The 21,521-nt window shown below is 42.4% G+C and overlaps 1 protein-coding gene across 21 annotated transcripts in view, besides 1 other annotated feature; it reads right to left on the minus strand.

Moving 5' to 3' along the window:
• Window positions 3,426-21,521, minus strand: part of RNF170 (ring finger protein 170) — a 47,663-nt gene continuing 29,567 nt past the window's right edge. For 9 of the 21 annotated variants that reach the window (XM_011544666.4, XM_047422279.1, NM_001160225.2 and 6 more), the window contains 3 exons: window positions 19,205-19,278; window positions 15,534-15,644; window positions 7,090-10,217 (listed from right to left, as the gene is read on the minus strand). In XM_011544666.4, the coding sequence (XP_011542968.1) occupies window positions 9,948-10,217; window positions 15,534-15,644; window positions 19,205-19,278 (455 nt within the window). In that variant the 3' untranslated portion in view covers window positions 7,090-9,947. Of the gene's footprint in view, window positions 4,787-7,089; window positions 10,218-15,533; window positions 15,645-18,401; window positions 18,483-19,204; window positions 19,279-21,521 lie in introns of those variants that run through there. The other 12 variants (NR_027669.2, NR_027668.2, XM_047422281.1 and 9 more) reach the window with 6 other exon arrangements.
• Window positions 10,764-10,873: an enhancer, noted in NCBI's record as "active region_27319". NCBI's record gives its function as "activates an Ori minimal core promoter by ATAC-STARR-seq in GM12878 lymphoblastoid cells {active_cell/tissue: GM12878}" and the evidence as "EXISTENCE:reporter gene assay evidence [ECO:0000049][PMID:35858748]".

Here is a 21,521-nt window from a genome sequence, read left to right on the forward strand (position 1 = left end):
TAGGCTGTTTTCCTTGGCTTGAAATGCCCATCCCTGACCTGTCCACCCTTAAGATGTGGCTTAATGGCCTGGTGCAGTGGCTCACGCCTGTAATCCCAGCACTTTGGGAGGCTGAGGCGGGTGGATCACATGAGCCCAGGTGTTCAAGGCCAGCCTGGGCAACATAGTGAGACCCTGTCTCTACAAAAAAAATACAAAAATTAGCCAGGCATGTTGGCACACACCTGTAGTCCCAGATACTTGGGAGGCTGAGTTGAGAGGATTCCTTGAACCCAGAAGGTTGAGGCTGCAGTGAGCTGTGGTCATGCCTTTGTACTCCAGCCTGAGCAAACAGAATGAGACCCTGTCTCAAACAAGCAAACCAACAGTTACCATGAGCTGGGTGTCAGGGCTCAGGAGGCTGAGGCAGGGACTCAAGGCAGCCTGGACAGCAGAGTGAGACCCTGTTTCTAAAAAGTTGTTTTTAATTGGTCAGGTATGGTGGTGCATGCCTGTAGTTCCAGCTACTTGGGAGGCTGAGGCAAGGAGGATCCCTTGAGTCCAGGAGTCTGAGGCTGCTGGAGTGTGAGCTATGATCATGACAGTGAGATCCCATCTCTAAATTTTATACACATACACATACACACACAGATATGTATTGCTAAAAAAAAAAGCTAATGATCACCTGAGCCTTCAGCAAATGGTGATCTTTTTGTTGATGGAGAGTCTTGCCTTGATGTTGATGGCTGCTGACTGATCATGGTTGCTGAAGGTTGAGGTGGCTGTGGCAAGTTCTTAAAATGAGACAACAATGAAGTTTGCTGCATCGATTGACTCTTCCTTTCATTAAATATTTCTCTGTAGCAAGTAATGCTGTTTAATAGCATTTTGGTCACAGTAGAACTTCTTTAAGAATTGGAGTTAATCCTCTCAAACCCTGCCACTGCTTTATCAACTAGGTTTATTTAATATTCAAAATATTCTAAATCCGTTGTTGTCATTTCAACAATGTTCACAGCATCTTTGCCAGAAGTAGATTCCATCTTCATAAACTACTTTATTTGCTCATCTATAAGAAGCAACTCCTCATCTGTTCAAGTTTTATCATGAAATTGCAGCAACTCAGTCACATCTTCAGGATCCACTTTTAATTCTAGTTCTCTTGTTGTTTCTATCACACTTGCAGTGACTTCTTCCACCAAAGTCTTGAACAACTCAAAGCCATTCATGAGGGCTGGAGTCAATTTCTGCCAAACTCCTGTTAATGTTGATATTTTTCCTCCCATGAATTATTGATGTTCTTCAGGGCATCTAGAATGATGAATCCTTTCCAGAAGGTTTTCTACTGACTTTGCCCAGATCCATCAGAGGAGTCACTATCTATGGCAGCTATAGGCTTACAAAATTTATTTCATAGGTAATAAAACTTGGAAGTCAAAATACTCCTTGATTTATGGGGCTGCAGAATGGATGTTGTGTTACAGGCATGAAAACAACATTCATCTCCTTGTACATCTCCATTAGAGCTCTTGGGTGACCAGGTGCATTGTCAATGAGCAGTATTATTTTGAAAGGAATTTTTTTTTCTGAGCAGTAGGTGTAACAATGGACTTAAAATATTAAGTGAACCATGCTGTAAACAGATGTGCTGTCATCCAGGCTTTATTATTCCATTTATTGAGCACAGGCAGAGTAGATTTACCATTGTTCTTAAGACCAATAGGATTTTTGAAATGGTAAGTGAGCATTGGCTTCAACTTAAAGTCATCAGTTGCATCAGCCCCTAACAAGGGAGTCAGCCAGTCCTGTGACACTTTGAAGCCAAGCACTGAATTCTCCTTCCTGGCTACTAAAAGTCCTAGATGGCATCTTCTTCCAATAGAAGCCATTCTATCTACATTGAAAATCTGCTGTTAGTGTAGCCACCTTCATTAATTATCTGAGCTGGATCTTCTGGAGAACTCACTGCAGCTTCTCCATCAGCACTTGCTGCTTCACTTTGCACTTTTATATTATGGAGATGGCTTCTTGTCTTAAACCTCCTGAACCGACCTCTGCTAGCTTACAACTTTGTTCTGCAGTTTCCTCACCTCTCTCAGCCTTCACAAAATTGAACAGAGTTGGGGGGGATTTGGTTTAAGGGAAGACCATTTAAACTTTTTTTCTTTTGAGACTGAGTCTCGCTCTGTAGCCCAGGCTGGAGTGCAGTGGCGCAATCTCTGCTCACTGCAACCCCCACCTCCCAGGTTAAAGCGATTCTCCTGCCTCAGCCACCCATGTAGCTGGGATTATAGGCGCGCACCACCACACCCAGCTAATTTTTATATTTTTAGTAGAGACTGGGTTTCACCATGTAGGCCAGGCTGGTCTCGAACTCCTGACCTGAAGTGATCCTCCCACTTTGGCTTCCCAAAGTGCTGGGATTACAGGTGTGAGCCATGGCACCCAGCCCATTTAAACTTTCTCCATATCAGCATTAAGGCTGCTTAGCTTTTTTATTATTCGTGTGTTCACTGGAATAGCACTTCTAATTTCCTTCAAGAATTTTTCCTTTATGCCAGGCACGTTTGCTCACACCTGTAATCCCAGCACTTTGGGAGGCTGAGGTGGGCGGATCACGAGGTCAGGAGATCGAGACCATCCTGGCTAACACAGTGCAACCCCATCTCTACTAAAAATACAAAAAAAAAAAAAAAAAACCCAAAAAATTAGCTGGGCATGGTGGTGGGCACCTGTAGTTCCAGCTACTCAGGAGGCTGAGGCAGGAGAATGGCATGAACCCGGGAGGCGGAGGTTGCAGTGAGCCAAGATAGCGCCACTGCACTCCAGCCTGGGCGACAGAGTGAGACTCTGTCTCAAAAAAAAAATTTTTTTTCCTTTACATTCACAACTTGGCTGTTTGGCACAAGAGGCCTAGCTCTCAGCCTGTCGTGCCTTTCAACATGCCTTCCTCACTACACTTGATCATTTCTACCTTATGATTGAAAGTAAGAATCTTAGCAAGGACTTAGTGGGCATTGGTATGGTTACTAATTGGCCTAATTTCAATGTTGTTGTGTCTCAGGCAATAGGGAGGCCCAAGGAGAGCGAGAGAGACTAGGGAATGGCCAGTCAGTGGTGAGTGAGAACACATACAACTTGTATCAATTAAGCTCACCATAAGTGGGTGCGGTTTGTAGCACTCCAAAACAAAGATCAGTAGTAACATTAAAGATCACTGATCACGGATCACCATAACAGCTATAATAATAATGAGAAAGTTTGCAATATTGCGAGAATTACCAAAATGTGACAGAGACATGACTTGAGTACGTGCTGCTGGAAAAATGGTGCCAATGGACTTGCTCGAAGCCGCGATGCCACAAACATTCAATTTGTAAAAAGTACAATATCTGCAAAAATCAATAAAGCAAATTACAATAAAATGAGGTCTGCCATTACCAAAATGCCAGAATAGTAGTTTATTAGCATTACCATGGATATTGAGACTGCTGGGAATATCTCTGAGGTCCTCTGTGCCTGTGTCTGATAAAGGTCAGAATGGATAACATTGTGAACTGAGAAAGTGTATTTCAACTTAGAGTTCCCTGATATTGTTTTCTCATTCATTGATTCAACAAATAGTTACTGACTATGCTGCACGCATAGTTCTGGGGGCTTGGGATATGTCAGTGAAGGAGATTTCTGCCCTCAGGGAGCTAATGTTCTCAAAGACATTAGGGAGGCAGATAGCAAACACGTGACCACAGAGTATGTTAGCCGGTGAGAGGTGCTCTGTGGGCTGAGGGAGTTGCAAGTTTCCTTATGGTGGACAGGACAGGCCTAACAGAGGAAATGGCTATTGTGCGAAGATCTGGAGTTGGTGAGAGTTGGCTGTGAGGATGCCCGGCGGAGGAGCCTAGCAGTCAGAGGGACTGGCCAGGGCAGAGCTCCTGAGGCTGGGCGTCTTCAGCCTGCTCAAAGGACAGCAAGGAGGGCTGGATGGCTGGAGCAGAGTGAGCTGTGGGGACAAATGTGAGATGAGGTTAGAGAGGAAATGAGCAACCAAGGTCACATGGGGCCTTGCAGGCTGGCGTGAGGACTTTACCTTTACTCTGTGGGAAAGGGAGAGCAGGCTTTCCAGCAGAGTCACACTTGAGATGATCATCGGGCTGCGTTGCATGTAGGGAGCCAGGCACTTGGTGCCTGGGAGACTGCCTGGAAGGTCGCTGTGATCCTTTAGGTGAGAAGTGAGGGTGGCTTAGACCTGGGCGGCAGCCATGACTGAGTAAGAAGTGATCTTTCCTTGTCTTCTGCCCTTTCCTGTCTTTCCCTTGCTTTATTTATTAATCTTTAATGTGTTGAGCACTACTGTGGTGGCAGGCATAATGGTACATCTGTGAATATCTGGGTGGACAAAACTAACATTGTCTCTGTTTTCATAGAGCTTGTGTTCTAGTGAGAAGCAGACAGACAATGGAAATGTCAATATGATGATGCTGTGCTGAGATGTCTGAATGCCTCAGAGTGCCCTGGGGTAAGGGGAGGGGAGGGTCACTGCCTACTTTTGCACTACTTTTGCACTGCCTACTTTTGGGTAGTCTGAGTGAGGAGGGAACATTTAACCTGAGAACCAAAGGATGGAAACACAGTCTAGTAACGTGAAGCATAAACGTGGTGAGGCTGAAGGGAGCATTCGGTCATGGGGTATATGCTGAGGCCCTGACCTGCATCCGACTGTACAGGCAGGAGAGTTCTGTGTGTCCAGGCATGCAACAGCCTCTTGATGGGTCTGCTCACTTGCACGGCTGCTCTTCTCTGATGAACCCTACACACGGTAGTCAGAATGACCTTTTAAAAATGTTTGTTAGATCATGTCTTCCCACTGCACGTAAATCCAAATCAACAGCCTTCCTGCTTCTTCAACCTCACTTCATGCCCTCCTTCCAGCTCCCTGGGCTCTACCACCACAGCCCCCATTGGGCTCCTGGACACACAGAACTCTCCTTGGACTGCGGTGGTGGCAGAGGGTATAGAGTGATAGGATTCGACATGTCAATGGTAGAAATGCCAGGGCTTGTTGATAGATGGTTATAAGAGTAAGAGAGGAGGCTGGGTGCAGTGGCTCACACCTGTAATCTCAGCAATTTGGGAGGCCGGGACTGGCGGATTACCTGAGATCAGGAGTTCCAGACCAGCCTGGCCAGGGTTTAGTAGAAACCCTGTCTCTACTAAAAATAGAAAAATTAGTTGGGTGTGGTGGTGGGCATCTGTAGTCCCAGCTACTCGGGAGACTGAGGCAGGAGAATCGCTTGAGCCCAGGAAGCGGAGGTTGCAGTGAGCCGAGATTGTGCCATTGCACTCCAGCCTGGGTGACAGAGTGAGACTCCGTCTCAAAAAAAAAAAAAAAAGAAAGAAAAAGAAAGAACAAGAGAAGGATTCAGATATTAACACCGAATTAAGCTTGCACCTCTGGCTTGAGCATTTTGAGATGGGATCTCCTGTCACTCAGGCTGGACTGCAGTGGTGCAACCCACAAGGCTCACCACAGCCTTCACTTCTGGGCCCAAGTGATCCTCCCACTTCAGCTCTGGAGTAGCTAGGACCACAGGCATGCACCACCACGTCTGGCTAATTTTATTTGTAGAGACGGGGGTCTCACTATGTTGCTCAGACTGGTCTCAAACTCCTGGACTCAAGTGATCCTCCTGCCTCGGACTCCCAAAGTGCTGGGATGATAGGTGTGAGCCACCACACTGTCCTCGCTTGAGCATTTAAATGGATGGATGGTGGTTCCTTTTACTGAGAGTCAAACGGCCTTTAATAAAAAGAAGGGAGCTATTTCTGCCAGCAAAGTAAAGGCCTTGGCAGGGGAGAAGTGGTTTAGGAAAACTAGGTTGTCACCTGGGAGGTGCAGGAATATCAGAAGAGAATGAACGTTTAAGACAGTTCAGAGAAGCTGGGGGCACAAGCCACTCAAGCAGCACCCAAGGATCACCTGCCAGCAGGGTGCCCTCTTGGTGTCTATGATCATTAATCCATCTAGAATGAAACTGGTCAATGTGGTGTCCCTCAGCCAAGTTCTCTTCCTTGTTCCCTTTTCTTGTTTCCTGTCTTCCAGTGATCCATAACTTGGAAATGAAATATATACTTTTATTACCTGTTGAATATAATCCTTATATTTCCTTATTTCAAAGTGGTAAACTTATCATTGGTATGGTGAATTACATATAATTTATTTATTCATTTATTTTTTTTTAATTTTTGAGATGGAGTCTCACTCTGTCACCCAGGCTGGAGTGCAATGGCATGATCTCAGCTCACTGCAACCTCTGCCTTCCAGGTTCAAGCGATTCTCCTGTCTCAGCCTCCCAAGTAGCTGGGACTACAGGTGCGTGCCACCACACCTGGCTAATTTTTGTATTTTAGTAGAGACGGGGTTTCACTATGTTGGCCAGGCTGGTCTCAAACTCCTGACCTTGTGATCTGCCCGCCTTGGCCTCCCAAAATGCTGGGATTACAGGTGTGAGCCACTGCGTCCAGCAGAATTTCATATAATTTAAAACAAAATTTGTTGCATTGAACTGAATGTTGAATTTTTCTTTGTAAAACATCTCCGTGACTAAATTTTCACTGTGGTCTGCAAATTAATTTATTTGCTTAATAGAAAAATAATTTTCAGCACTGGGCATGGTGGTTCACACCTGTAATCCCAGCACTTTGGAAGGCTGAGCCTGGGAGTTTTAGACCAGCCTGGGCAACACAGCCAGACCATGTATCTACAAACTTTTTTTTTTTTTTTTTTAATTAGCCAGGTGTGATGGCACACATCTATAGTCCCAGCTACTTGGGAGGCTGAGACAGGAGGATCACTGGAGCCCAGGAATTCGAGGCTGCAGTCAGCTATGATTGTAACACTGCACTCCAACCTGGGCAAGAGTGAGACCCTGTCTCTGACCAAAAAACAAACACACAAACAAAATAAAAAACCTAACAAAATTAATTAGAAATGTGATGAGATATTGGATGTCCATTAGTGATAAAGCCGTTGCAACCATTATACTGAATGCTCTTTCAGGAGTTCTGAAAGCAAACAACTGTTAAATAAACAGAAAAATAACACCTTTAAAATGTTTTAGATATGTTGCTTTTATTCAAAAGAATAAAATGCTTGACAAACTCTTTAATCACAAGGTTTGAACCAAACCACCAGTCTTCTACAACAACTCTGTGAGGTAGGTATCTGCATAGCCACAAGGGATCCACATAGTCCTTTCTTCCCTTGTACCTCTCAAACACTGAGAATTGTAGTAGTTGAAACCACTGTTCTAGTGGGCAGTTAGAACAGTTGTTTTCCCCGTCTTGTTCCCCACAGAGCTGCCCAAGTTATTATCTGCTCCTGGGGTTGGACCATCTGTTTTATGACAGTTATGATATTGTTGTTTAAAAAAAATCCAAATTGTTACTTTGATTTATATGATCTAACTCTGAATCACGGAAGTATTACTATGATGTTCAAAACTCTGATTGACTCTACTTGCTTTAAAAACTCTCAGATCCCTTCTGCATTTATCATCAGAGATCGGTAAAGATGACAACAAGCAGGTCTAAAGTTCTGAGATGTTAGCACATACCCTTTTCACAATTTAGGAAGCTTTAAGATCATTTAGTATTTTTTTATGTTACAAAATTTGGTACAATACACCTCTTTCAGGAAAGTCTTAGTAGTAACTCCAAATATTATAATTATTGTAACCAGAATTGTGACACTTGGAGCAGAATGCATGCACACAAAATAAAATCCTGTCAAAAAATGACATCACCATTCCCCCACACCAAATGTGTAATTGGTAGGAAATGCATTTCCAGTCTGGTACATGGCAGTGTGACAAACTCCTACTCACTCGCTTTTCAAGTTGGTGACTGCAGCTGAAATGTTTTTCTGTGATGTATGCCACCCTTTTACCTATTTGATTTGGAAGTGTAGAATTCGGATTCATGTCATCTCCACAGACCTTTCCTCTTAGGAGTGCCTAAGCTGTCTTACTCTGATGGAGGTATAATGTAGCACGAAAGACTTCCAAAGAACCAGTTTCTCTCTTGCTGTTCCTCTTAACAACTTTCACGTCTATCTAAACATTCTATGCAGGAGTCCTACTAAGAAATTTTGGTGTAATGCCACTTTGATCAGTTATTTGTTGTATGACTTCATTCAAAAACACTTTCATCAATAGCATGGGGATTGTATCTATGAAAGGGAAGTTGGTGTCCTGCGTTCCTCACAAAATTATCCAAAGGATAAAATGAAAAGTATGTGAGAAACCTGCTTTAATTATAATGTGCTATGTTTAAGCATTATTGTTTTTCTCTATGACAAGCAACAGCTCTGTCCTAGGTCCAAATTAGAAAAACACATATTGATATTTCATTCAGAATCTCATTAATTGGTAGCTGATCTGATTAGCTAGAGAGAATGTGACAGATTTTCTCCTTATCTCCCAGTCTGCATATAGTGAAGCTCACTAATAAATTAATGGATGATATTAATAGCAGTGATCTCAGATGACAATGCTAACACTGACTCCTGGGCATCCCCTCACATCCTGCTGTCATACATTCACTAATGAGCAACGCCAGCTGAAGTGAGTAAGATCTCCCAGTACCATGTGGTACTGAGTCTTCTCAGATACATTCACTTGTTTGGCTCAAGACATGAATCTGAGCTGTGTGCTGCCATCCTGAGACAGTATTATAAAAATTTCTGACAACAGAAAACTAACAAAATTTGTCCAATCTGTTGCTATAGCTAACCAGTAATTTCTTTTGTCAAATGTAAATACCGTTCCCAGTACCTTCCTATTGGCTTGATGCTCAAAGACACGAAGATTCACCTTCCTCAGAAATGCATCAGGCTACTCTGTGTTTGCAGCATCGCCCAGGTTCCTAAAACAATCTTCCCTTTACAAATTACTTTTATATCTACTACGAAAGGATGAGCTCTTGTTTAAATGTCTAACTGTGAACATCAAGTGTGCTGACTGGAGATAAATGTTTTTCATCTTTTTTTTTTTTTTTTTTGAGAGGGAGTCTCACTCTGTTGCCCAGGCTGGAGTGCAGTGGCGCAATCCACCTCCTGGGTTTACGCCATTCTTCTGCCTCAGCCTCCCGAGTAGCTGGGACTACAGGCGCCTGCCACCACGCCTGGCTAATTTTTTGTATTTTTAGTAGAGACGGGGTTTCACCATGTTAGCCAGGATGGTCCTGATCTCCTGACCTTGTGATCTACCCGCCTCAGCCTCCCAAAGTGCTAGGATTACAGGCGTGAGCCACCCCGCCCGGCCATGTTTTTCATCTTAATTCTTCTATTGATTAAAATGTGTTCTGTAAACTAGAATATGATATCGAAGTATGAAGTTCAAGTTTCTTCTTTCAGTTTCAGCTGATAGCAAATAATTAATTATACCAGAATGAAAAGGCAGAACTGCTCCAAATGCACAAAACTTAGCTAGCACTAAAAGAAATACTGAATTTTCCCCAATAGTATATAATATTTTATTGGAACAAAAATATTTAGATGAGTTTCACAGCTATATATTATCATATAGGTACCTGCTGAGAAGGATAAGATGGATAAACTGACATTTAACAATATTTTACTATACATCTAATTAATCTAAGTAATTCTGGGGAAAAGAAAAATATATAAAAGCATCCCTTTTTATATAATTCCATATTTTTTCCAGACAACATAGAATCAAGATACAACTGTAGATCATTATAATTCTAAACTTAATATTAGAACTTCAAACATGAAAATTCCAGTTATACCTAGGTATTTGTCAAATGATAATCAAATGTTTGTCTTATAGTGGTTTTATATTTGTGAGATAATACTCCATTGCTTCATTGCTTTATACTGCCATGGGTCCTTCTGTTTGATGTTCTACATTAGCTCAGATATCCTAGTAAACTCAGTTTTGTTTTCTTTTTCATCTAGTTAGCCTTTGGGTTATCACTTCTCGATACATAATAGAGATGTAGATAAGCAATAAAAAGATGACAAAGAAATCATCTAGAAAGCCTAGAATTCCAAACAAGGCTTCAGGTACAAAATCTAGAGGTGATATAAGATAGAAAAAAGCTCCCATTAAACAAAGTATTATCCTGATGCGAAACATCCAGAAAAGGCCCCCGACTGAAAACATTTCCCTGAATGCATGCCTCAGTAAAGTGGGTAGATCCATAATTCTCTCCATAATCTGGTAGAGGGAAAAACAAGTATTATGATTCAGCACCTAATGTGTCAGATTTCAAAATAATATAATTTTCTTACTATATGTAAACATTGTTAAGATGAATTAAGGAGTTACACATTAATTGAACATATTTTCTAATTATGTGTTGTATTTAAAAATAGCTCTTTGAATACTAGTTCTTACAGAATAGATCTTATTGCAGATAATTGAAAGGCAACTAAAGTGTCAACAAGCTTAAAATACGGGATATAGTAATGCAAAACTCAAGTAACATCTGATTTGAGTTAGTAAAATAAACCAAAGAACCTAGCGCGCAGGATTAGAGTCTGAGACTTGAGCTTAAGTCTCAGCTTTAAAGTCAGACAGATCTGGGTTTGAATTCAAAATCAATCACTTACTAGCCAGGTGATCTTAGGAACAGTTGCTTAACCTACTAGAGATAATTCAACAACTAACTGTGTATTTATGTGCAAGGACTGTTAAGAACGAAAAGGTTCCCTGGCAAGCGGACTAAAAATTCAAAAGAAAAAAATAACTAAAAGAGATACTGTGTATGAAAGACCTTTATAACTTGCCAGACAATATAGAAGTGATTATACATTAAAGACATAGGAACTTTGATGGCTTAAATAGTTTAAGAATAGCAGTGAAACTGATTCCTTCTGGTGAATCACTTCCTCTGGTCATTTCTCTGCTATGTTTAACAATCTGTGTAACAGTCATACACGCAAACTCTAGATAGGCGTTTTATGTAACAAGTGCCAAATAAGTTGAGAGGGAGATGGAGACAAAAACGCAAAGAACTGAGCAAGTGAGGAGAAAATAGTTTTTGAAACCCCCAGACTAAGAGAAAATCATCTTGTGACTCCTTTTGGAACAATGCTCACCGAAGTACAAGAATGGTTGTTTCATAATCACTTCCTATGTTCTGTGGAAGAACTAATATCTAAAGCAAAACAGCCTTACAGCTTTCACAAAGTTTATAGTAAATGACTTTAGATACTCTAACAAACAGCCAGCATGTCTTTTGAATACCCTTCTGTCCTTTTTCAGAGCTATTTTGTTCACTTGTAATACAGTATCATCATTTATACAAAATCTTTAATAATTAGACCAGAAATAATGAAATGGTTTAGTAAGAAATGTTTCTGCATAAACTTACTCCAACTTTGAAGGAGGCAGAATATTAAAGAGCTAAATGCCTTTTTTATATTATAATTTCATCACATACCAGGCTTTCTTACTCATTAAATATCTGACACAAAAAATAATAATTGAGTAATAGTATGCTTCACATTTTAAAAATAATGAAGGAAAAATTCTAAAGGCTGGATGCAGTGGCTCACACTGGTAATCCCAGCACTTTGGGAGGCCAAGGTGAGCAGATCGCTTGAAGCCAAGAGTTTTGAGATCAGCCTGGAAAGCAGGGTGAAACCCCGTCTCTACTAAAAATACAAAAATTAGCTGGGCATGGTGGCACACACCTGTAATCCCAGCTAGTCAGGTGGCTGAAATATGAGAACTGTTTGAACCCAGGAGACAGAGGTTGCAGTGAGCCGAGATCGCGCCATTGCATTCTGGCCTGGGCGACAGAGCGAGACTCTGTCTCAAAAAGAAAAGAAATGAAAAGAAAAATGTTAAATGACTTTATTAAAGTTTAGTGGTAGCTCTTAAATTTGAAACAGGTTGCATTTTTAAAGAACCATCCTACTGATGTCACCGGAGGATATGTAAAAAAAAAATTGCTGGGTCAAAATTGCAGAAGAGGCTCCCAAATAATTATGGAGGACAACATGATTGGATTAAGTTTTTTTTTTTCCTGCTCAATGAAAAATGGGTAAATCTACCCATTATCATCCATAACAGTTGAAATCTATGCCCTGAAATGTACACGACCTCACAGAACAAGGAACAATGGAGCATGAGCACATGTCTGTTTAACACTGAAGCATCTGAATAGCTTAATATATTCGGCTGGGAGCAGCAGTATCAATTCTTATCTTAACAGTAATTCATTTATTCAACACACATTAAGGCACCAAATTTGGCACTGTTGGAAACTCGGCAGTGGTAAATAAATAAAAATGGTCCTTACCCTTATGAAGCTTTTAGTTTACTGAGAGAAAGATAATGAACAAGAATTGAGTGCTGTCTATGATAAACGCCATGAAGGAAAGGTACAGAGGGCGCCACAGAGCAGGGAAAACTTCTCCAAGGAGGGTCTACTTAAGATAGTTGTCATTTAAAGACTGGGAAATCACCATAAGAGCAGAAGGACAAGCATTCCATGCAGAGGAAGTGTCAGGTGTGACAGCCTTAAGGTGGAAGGAGTTTGTGTGTGTGCTGAGAGCATAGAGCAGGGTGGCTGCAGGGTGGTGATTGAGGCGGTTAACAGAAATTTGGAGAGGGAGGGAGGACCAGATCATGTGGCGCCCTGTAAGCCACAGTAAGGAGTTGGAACATTCAAAGACATTGGGCCACAAGTGGTGGCTCATGCCTGTAATCCCACCACTTTGGGAGGCCGAGGTGGGAGGACCACTTGAGCCCAGGAGTTTGAGAACAGCCTGGCCAACATGGCGAAACCCCATCTCTACAAAAAATATAAAAATTAGCCGGGTTGTGGTGGCATGCACCTGTAGTCCCATCTACTTGGGAGGCTGAGGTGGGAGGAAGGCTTGAGCCCAGGAGGCAAACGTTGCAGCGAGCCAAGATTGCACCACCGCACTCGAGCCTGTCTCAAAACAAACAAACAAAATAGAAGTTTTCAAACACAAGAGCATCATGGTCTCATTTATGTCTAGAAAACATGTATCAGGCTGCTGTGGCAGGGAAAAAAGTAGAAGTGAGGAGGCCACTGTGGTTGCCGTGAGCAGAGATGACAGGGCTGGACCAGCACAATGTCTACAGTGATTGAAAGAAGTGGACACAGGCTGGGCACGGTGGCTCACACCTGTAATCCCAGCACTTTGGCAGTCTGAGGGGGTGGATTGCTTGAGCCCAGGAGTTCAAGGCCAGCCTGGGCAGCATGGCAAAACCCAGTCTCTATAAAAAATTAGCCGGGTGTGGTGATGCACCCCTGTGGTCCCAGCTACTTGGGAGGCTGAGGCGGCAGGATGGCCTGAGCTTGGAAGGTTGAGGCTGCAGTGAGCCGTGATCACACCACTGCACTCCAGCCTGGGAAAGAGTGAGAATCTGTCTCAAACAACAACAACAACACAGCCAAGACATTTTTGTTCTTTTTGAGACAAGGTCTCACTCGATCACCCAGGCTGGAGTGCAGTGATGTGATCCTGGCTCATTGCAACCTCTGCCTCCCGGGCTCAAGCAGTCCTCCCACCTCAGCCTCCCAAGTAGCTGAAACTACAGGTGCACACCACCGTGCCTGACTAATTTTTGTATTTTTTGGTAGAGACAAAGTCTTGCTAAGTTGCCCAGGCTGGTCTCAAACTCCTGAGCTCAAGTGATCTGCCTGCCTCAGTCTCCCAAAGTGCCAGGATTACAGGCATGAGCCACTGTGCCCAGCCAGCAAGAATATGTTGATGCAGTAAAAATAATAGGACACCCCAAAAATAGAAAGAAAAGGTAGGATTACTTATAGACCAGATGAGAGGAATGAAGAAGAGGAGGAAATCAAAACTGAGAAAAGAACAGACTATGTCAAGGAGGGAATCAGCTCAATACTCCACGTGTTAAGTTAGGGATGTCTGTGGAGCACCCACGCTGAAATGGAAGCGAAGCAGTTGGATCTACAGAGTCTGGAGCTCAGAGGAGAGGTCTGGGCTGTCCATATAAATTTGGATTTAGTACATTCTAGTTTTTGAAGTACTTATTCAGTTTTACATTTCTAAGAATGTGTTAGATTTTGATAAAACAAGAATGAGTCAGTAAAATGTGCTAGTTTTTGATTTATCAAATACTTCTAGGGTAAGGGGAAGAAAGGTTATCTGTACAGTGTTCTGCTTTTAAATAGCTAAGATGACATATAAACATATCCCTCCAAACTTTTTTTTTTCTGAGACGGGAGTCTCACTCTGTTGCCCAGGCTGGAGTGCAGTGGCGTGATCTCAGCTCACTGCAACCTCTGCCTCCCGGGTTCAAGTGATTCTCCTGCCTCAGCCTTCCAAGTAGCTGGGACTACAGGCACAAACCACCATACCCAGCTAATTTTTGTATTTTTAGTAGAGACAGGGTTTCACCATGTTGATCAGGCTGGTCTCAAACTCCCGAACTCAAATGATCTGCCCACCTCAGCCTCCCAAAGTGCTGGGATTACAGGTGTGAGCCACTGTGCCCGGCCTAAACCTGGAATTTTTTGGAGTTTCACTCTCGTCGCCCAGGCTGGAGTGCAGTGGCGTGATATCGGCTCACTGCAACCTCTGTCTGCCGGGTACAAGTGATTCTCCAGCCTCAGTCTCCCGAGTAGCTAGGATTACAGGTGCCTGCCACCACACTCAGCTAATTTTTGTATTTTTAGTAGAGACAGGGTTTCACCGTGTTGGCCAGGCTGGTCTCGAACTGCTGACCTCAGGTGATCCACCCGCCTCGGCCTCCCAAAGTGCTGGGATTACAGGCGTGAGCCACCGCCCCCAGCCAACCTGGAATTTTTTTAAGGGAACATTTCAAACAGGGCTAGGGCAAATAGAATAAACCACAACTGTGAAACTTAAAGTTTTCAGTTGTAACTTTTCTCAAAAGACAAATGGTGTTTTAGTATCACAAAGAAGTAAATAATTTTCTATTTCCCTCTAATTTTTTCTATTGCTTTTCTGCTAGTTTCTCTTTCATAAAAACTTTTATAATGCTGTTTGTTTTTTAAGAAAGAAAATTGTAGTCCTTGGGAAAGGTGTAATGTAGTGATTGGCAGCAATGAAGGTAAAAACTTGACCCAACACATATAATGAGATTTTTTTTTTTCTTTTTCTTTTCTTGTTTTTTGAGGAAGGGTCTCACTGCCACCCAGGTGGGAGTGCAATAGTGCGATCATGGCTCACTATAGCCTCAACCTCCTGGGCTCAGGTGATCCTCCCATTTCAGCCTCCCAAGAAGCAGGGACTACAGGCATGTGCCAACACTCTTGTCCAATTTTTTGGTGTTTTTTCTAGAGATGGGGTTTCATCATGTTTCCAAGGCTGGTCTCAAACTCCTGGGCTCAAGTGATCCACCTGCCTTGGCCTCCCAAAGTGCTAGGATTATAGGCGTTAGCTACTGTGCCTGGCCAAGATTTCTCATAGTCAAAGAATACTTGTTGGTAAACCTCACTTTACAAAAGAGAAGAAATGTGTCTTCCTCTAACTTTGAACATGCTTTAGCATTACTTACAGATCTGGGTTGCCCTGAGAATCTCCGGTTATAATCATTAATATCCTGATGCAATCTCAGAACATCCTGAGACTGATCATCTTCACCAAATACTGTTAGGAGTAAGGTTACCTGTATATTACAGAAAAAAAAATTATTTCAACTTTCTGCATCATTATGTTTTTTTCATTTTGTGTTATTATTCAATAGAATGATAAAGGCTTCTATATTTATATTTCACTCATTTTTAAATAAAGGCAACCTGGGGGAGGGGAGTAAGTAACTGCTTTGCAATAAAATCCAATGCAACATAGAATTTGAACTCCTATAAAATAGACACCATATCCAACTACTGGCCTAATATTTTCCTGTCCACACCAGGGGTAAATTCCTTAGTTCTCTATTTGGGCTAACAGATATTTGAAGATAAAAGAAGGATGAGGAAACATTCAGGAGGAAAGTGACATAAAATATATAACTGTCACTTTAAGACAGAAAAATTATGGTTTTCTTTTTCAGTATTAAAATAATGATTGGTTATTCTTACTGGTATTTGAAAGATCTTTGAATGCTACCAACCATAATATAAAGATTATGTTATTGCAGGGACCAGCTCTCAAACACCAATTCCTACTATAATAAAAAAAAGAAATTTTTGATATTGTCATATAACATAATACATTTAACCCTGCTTCCTTCATGGTTGTGGTAACAAGGATGTACAAATGTCCCAGGACCATACTGGGGTAATCTGACGGTGACAGTACCTTGAAAAATAAATACACTTTAGGACGTAGCACCCTTATAGAAAATGGTCACTAATGATTGTATGATGACATAAAAACGGGAAGGAGTGGTGGCCGATTTAGTTTTAAATCATTTAGTTGTTGTTTTGTCCTTCCTCAGTTCAGCTGTAAAACCAAGGCTTCCCACTGTTTAGATGCTTTCCAAACAGCTAAAAGAAGGCGTGACTAAGCACAGAAGGTGGTGAGAACAGCAGGTGCAGCCATCACTTCCTTCACAAATTTGTTAATAAAAATGCATTCTTTCAATACACATTAATGGAACACCTATGGCGGGCCAGGCACTCTGCTTAGTGCTAGGTATGCCAGAAAAATGAAGTCAAAAGCCTGCTCCAGGGTGACTACAACACCCACAAGGAAAGGGGAGGAAGACCTGGCCGACAGCCTTACATGGTCCTGGGGCAGGTGCAAGAATGCTGCTGTGAGAGCGAGGATCTCTTCTGCCTGGGGTGGTCAGAAAGCCTGATACTGAGCCAAACCTGGAAATGGTGGTAGGACTGTGGCTGGTGTGCACGCATTCAAGGGGAGAAGTGGTGAATGTGTTCCAGTCAGAGGCGGCAGCCTGTGTATTGCTATTTCCATGACCATTTACTGAAGGGGCTACTGAAAACAGGAGGTAGAACAAGCATTTGCCATCTGTCTTGCCTCCAGGATGAATTACTCTTATCTTAGGGAACCAAGACCTATTATATTAAGACAACTTTATCTCGACCTTCTGAGCCTCTAGTCAATTTATGGATGGTACACAGGATACCACTGGCTACTGTACACATGTCCTATGAAAAGCCATGGGCAGAACCAAGAAGAGGGAGGGCCTGGAACTATTTTTTTAATGTAAGACCTACTCCCTAGTTTGGATGTTGCTGACCGAGAGCAAAAGATGCCAAGAAGTAGTACGGGCAAATAAGCTTCAATTTAAAAAAAAAATTTTTTTTTGAGACAGTCTCGCTCTGTCTCCAGGCTGGAATGCAGTGACACCACCTCGGCTCACTGCAACCTCCACCTCCCAGGTTCAAGTGATTTTTCTGCCTCAGCCTCCCAAGTAGCTGGGACTACAGGTGTGCGCCACCATGCGCAGCTAATTTTTGTATATTTAGTACAGACTGGGTTTCACCATGTTGGCCAAGATGGTCTTGATCTCTTGACCTTGTGATCTGCCCGCCTCAGCCTCCCAAAGTGCTAGGATTACAGGCGTGAGCCATCACGCCCGGCCATAAGCTTCAATGTTGACTGCCTTGTGTCACGCATCAAATCAGCCAGAGAGGCATATAGAAACATCAGTTTTCCTCCTGACCATGTGGCCACAAGTAAAATATGAAAGAGGCAGAATTTGGGAATGTATAAGCAAGAATGGTAAGAAAATGACTTGGACCTCCCTCTTTGCACCAAAATAAGAGGGCAGTTGAGGGGAAACAGACAGCTACAATAAAGGCTGAAGGAGAGAGAGAGAGAGAGTGTGTGTGTGTGTGTGTGTGTGTGTGTGTGTGAACATTCCACCCACGGGTAAGTGGAGGAATACTTTTTTTTTTTTTAGTGTGTGTGAACATTCCACCCATGGGTAAGTGGAGGAATACTTTTTTTTTTAGTGATGTAATCTCGTTCTATTGCCCAAGCTGGAGTGCAGTCCCATGATCATAGCTCATTGCAGCCTCAACCTCCTGAGCTCAAGCAATCCCCCCACCTCAGCCTCCCAAGTAGCTGGGACTACAGGTATACACCACCACACCTGGCTAATTTCATTTTTTAAATTTTTTTGTAGAGATGGAATCTCATTTTGTTGCCCAAGCTGGTATCGAACTCCCAGCTTCAAGTGATCCTCCTGCCTTGGCCTCCCAAAGTGCTGGGATTACAGGCATGAGCTACTGCGCCCACCCTGTATTTTTATTTTAAATGAAAAATAAATATAAAGGAAATTATGAAAAACAGTGTACAACTGACACAATGTCCTATTTTGTCATACTTAAAAACTGAGAATATTGGTTTCTCAGAATTGTTCAGTATTTCATTTCTCCAGTTTATCAAAGAAATGGAGAGAATTTGGCATGTCTCATCTGCAGTGACATTTCAGTCTCACGTTCATGCTTACTTACTGCCTCCCTCCTCAGGTGGCTTCGATGCTAACTGTCATGGTCTAAGCTGTTCTGGACAATGCAATGTGGCCATGTCTCTAAAAGGAATGAAACATTAAAAAAAAAAATCATTATATACCATTTAAAGCTATCTGGGTCCTCACTGGAAAAAGACAGATTAAATATACATTGAGAAGGAAAAAAATTTTTTTTCAAAACAAGTATATATGCATATATAGAGGATATATGCTCAAGCCTGATTGTCTTTCACTACAACTGTAGGATTTCAAATAGGATTCCCTTTTGTAGTGGTATCTCAGTGACAGTTTTAAAAAAATAATCGTGGGCCGGGTACAGTTTAAAAAAAAAAAAAATCGTGGGCTGGGCGTGGTATCTCATGCCTGTAATCCCAGCACCTTTGGAGGCTGAGGCAGGAGGATTGCTTGCGTTCAGGAGTTTCAGACCAGCCTGGGCAATGCAGGGAGACCTCATCTTTACTAAAAATAAAAAAATTAGCCAGGCATGGTGGCACATGCCTATAGTCCCAGCTACTCAGGAGGCTAAGGTGGAAGGATTGCTTGGGCCCAGGAGGTCGAGGCTGCAGGAAGCTACGATCATGCCACTGCACTGCAAGACCTTTTTTCAAAAAAAATAAAAAAAAATAAAAATAATAATAATAATATATGGTGACATCAAAGAAGATTTGGATAAATGAAGTTCTGCTAAAAAGACAATAATAATTCCAAATGTAGATACAAAAACTATAAAAATGTACAAAATAAACTAGCATAAATGATACTTTCTGCACACAAAACATTACCGTTTGTCTACAGATTGGACAACTGATTGCCCCAAGCCATGAACCATATCGCCAGTAAGCAATAATGCAGGCACCTAATAGACAAAACAAAACAAACACATAACCCATTAATATTGATGTTTTAAAGTCCACATATCCTCAGAAAGATTCAACTATTTGAAATATTTTAACAGTACCACGTTATTTAAAAATACCTTTTACTTCATCCAGCCAACCCTTCAGGCAAATTCAAATCTAGTAAGAACTCCTAGCCATTAAAAATTTTTTTATTTAAATTCCAAGTTAAGGCCGGGCACAGTGGCTCACGTCTGTTATCCCAGCACTTTGGGAAGCCAAGCTGGGTGGATCACTTGAGATCAGGAGTTTGAGACCAGGGTGGCCAATATGGTGAAACCCCGTCTCTACTAAAAAATACAAAAATTAGCCGGGTGCGGTGGCACACGCCTGTAATCCCAGCTACTTGGGAGGCTGAGGCAGGAAAATCACTTGAACCCGGGAGGTGGAGGTTGCAATGAGCTGAGATCATGTCACTGCACTCCAGCCTGGGCAACAAAGCAAGACTCTGTCTCAAAAAAAACCTCCAAGTTAAGCTACAGTTGTACACAATCAAAAGCAAGTATATATTAACTGCCTTAATACTATGAAGCTTCATACAAAACATTATATTTCCTATGTGATATAAATAAAACAATAATTAAACATCATTGTAAATATAACAACCAACAAATCAGAGCATAAATTTTCTGTTCTAAATTTGATATGTTACAAAACACAACTTTTAGAAGAGTTTAGAAAACCAAATTATCAATGTATTAACTAATAGTAATAAGGTATTAGTACAAGTGGCCAGGCGCGGTGGCTCACACCTGTAATCCCAGCACTATGGGTGGCTGAGGCGGGTGGATCACGAGGTCAGGAGTTCGAGACCAGCCTGGCCAACATAGTAAAACCCCATCTCTACAAAAATACAAAAAAATTAGCCGGGGGTGGTGGTGGGTGCTACTTGGGAGGCTACTTGGGAGCTACTTGGGAGGCTGAGGCAAGGAGATCCCAGCTACTTGGGAGGCTGAGGCAAGGAGAATCGCTTCAATCTGGGAGGCGGAGGTTGCAGTGAGCTGAGATTATGCCACTGCACTATAGCCGGCTGACAGTGCGAGACTCCGTCTCAGAAAAAAAAAAAAAAACTAGTACAAGCAAGGAATCAAAAGACACAAAAAGATTATATGCTCTGCCCTAATGAAGTTTAGAATCCAGTTCAAGAATTGAATCAACTCTTGCACTAGATGGATTGGATTTTTCTGCTTGAAGGTATTCATGAGCAGCAAGCCAGCCGAAGATGGGCAACACAGCCTAAAGGAAGAGTCTGGCGACCTCAAGAAGGCACGGGTGTGCCAAGTGTATAAGCACCAAACTTCAGGCCAATAAGAGGTGAAGGAATAGTTTTGAATACTGTCTGGGATTTAAGGGGCCAATCCACTTTCTTTTTTGTAGGACACCTGCATCTTCAACTATCCAGGTCCCACTGTGAATCTGAACTAAGTGTTAAGTGCTGAACTAGGTGTCCCTTCTCCCTCCACGAACCTCTGTGTATTCTTGCTCTTGCCTCAGCAACCTGGCTTAGCCCTCATGTGTTCCTTATTCCTCCAGATCAAATAAGTGTTCAGAATGCAGGACAAGCAATGGCAATCCAATTGAGGAGACCAAGATGACATACTCAAATCAATGTAGAAGGCAAATCTTCAACTGTGTAATATTAACTTGAAATACAAAAAAGGGCCTGGCACAGTGGCTCACGCCTGTAATCCCAGCACTTTGGGAGGCTGAGGCAGGCGGATCACCTGAGGTTGGGAGTTCGAGACCAGCCTGACCAACATGGAGAAACCCTGTCACTACTAAAAATACAAAATTAGCCAGGCTTGGTGGTGCATGCCTGTAATCCCAGCTACTTGGGAGGTTGATGCAGGAGAATTGCTTGAACCTGGGAGGTGGAGGTTGCAGTGAGCCAAGATTGCGCCACTGCACTCCAGCCTGGGCAATAAGAGCAAAACTCCGTCTCAAAAAAAAAAAAAAAAAAAAAAGGCCGGGCGCGGTGGCTCACACCTGTAATCCCAGCACTTTAGGAGGCCAAGGCGGGTGGATCACGAGGTCAGGAGATCAAGACCATCATGGCTAACATGGTGAAACCCCATTTCTCCTAAAAAATACAAAAAATTAGCCAGGTGTGGTGGCAGGCGCCTATAGTTCCAGCTACTCAGGAGGCTGAGGCAGGAGAATGGTGTGAACCCGGGAGGCGGAGCTTGCAGTGAGCCGAGATCAT

The sequence above is a fragment of the Homo sapiens genome, chromosome 8 (genome assembly GCF_000001405.40).
Source record: "Homo sapiens chromosome 8, GRCh38.p14 Primary Assembly".
Classification (NCBI taxonomy): domain Eukaryota; kingdom Metazoa; phylum Chordata; class Mammalia; order Primates; family Hominidae; genus Homo; species Homo sapiens.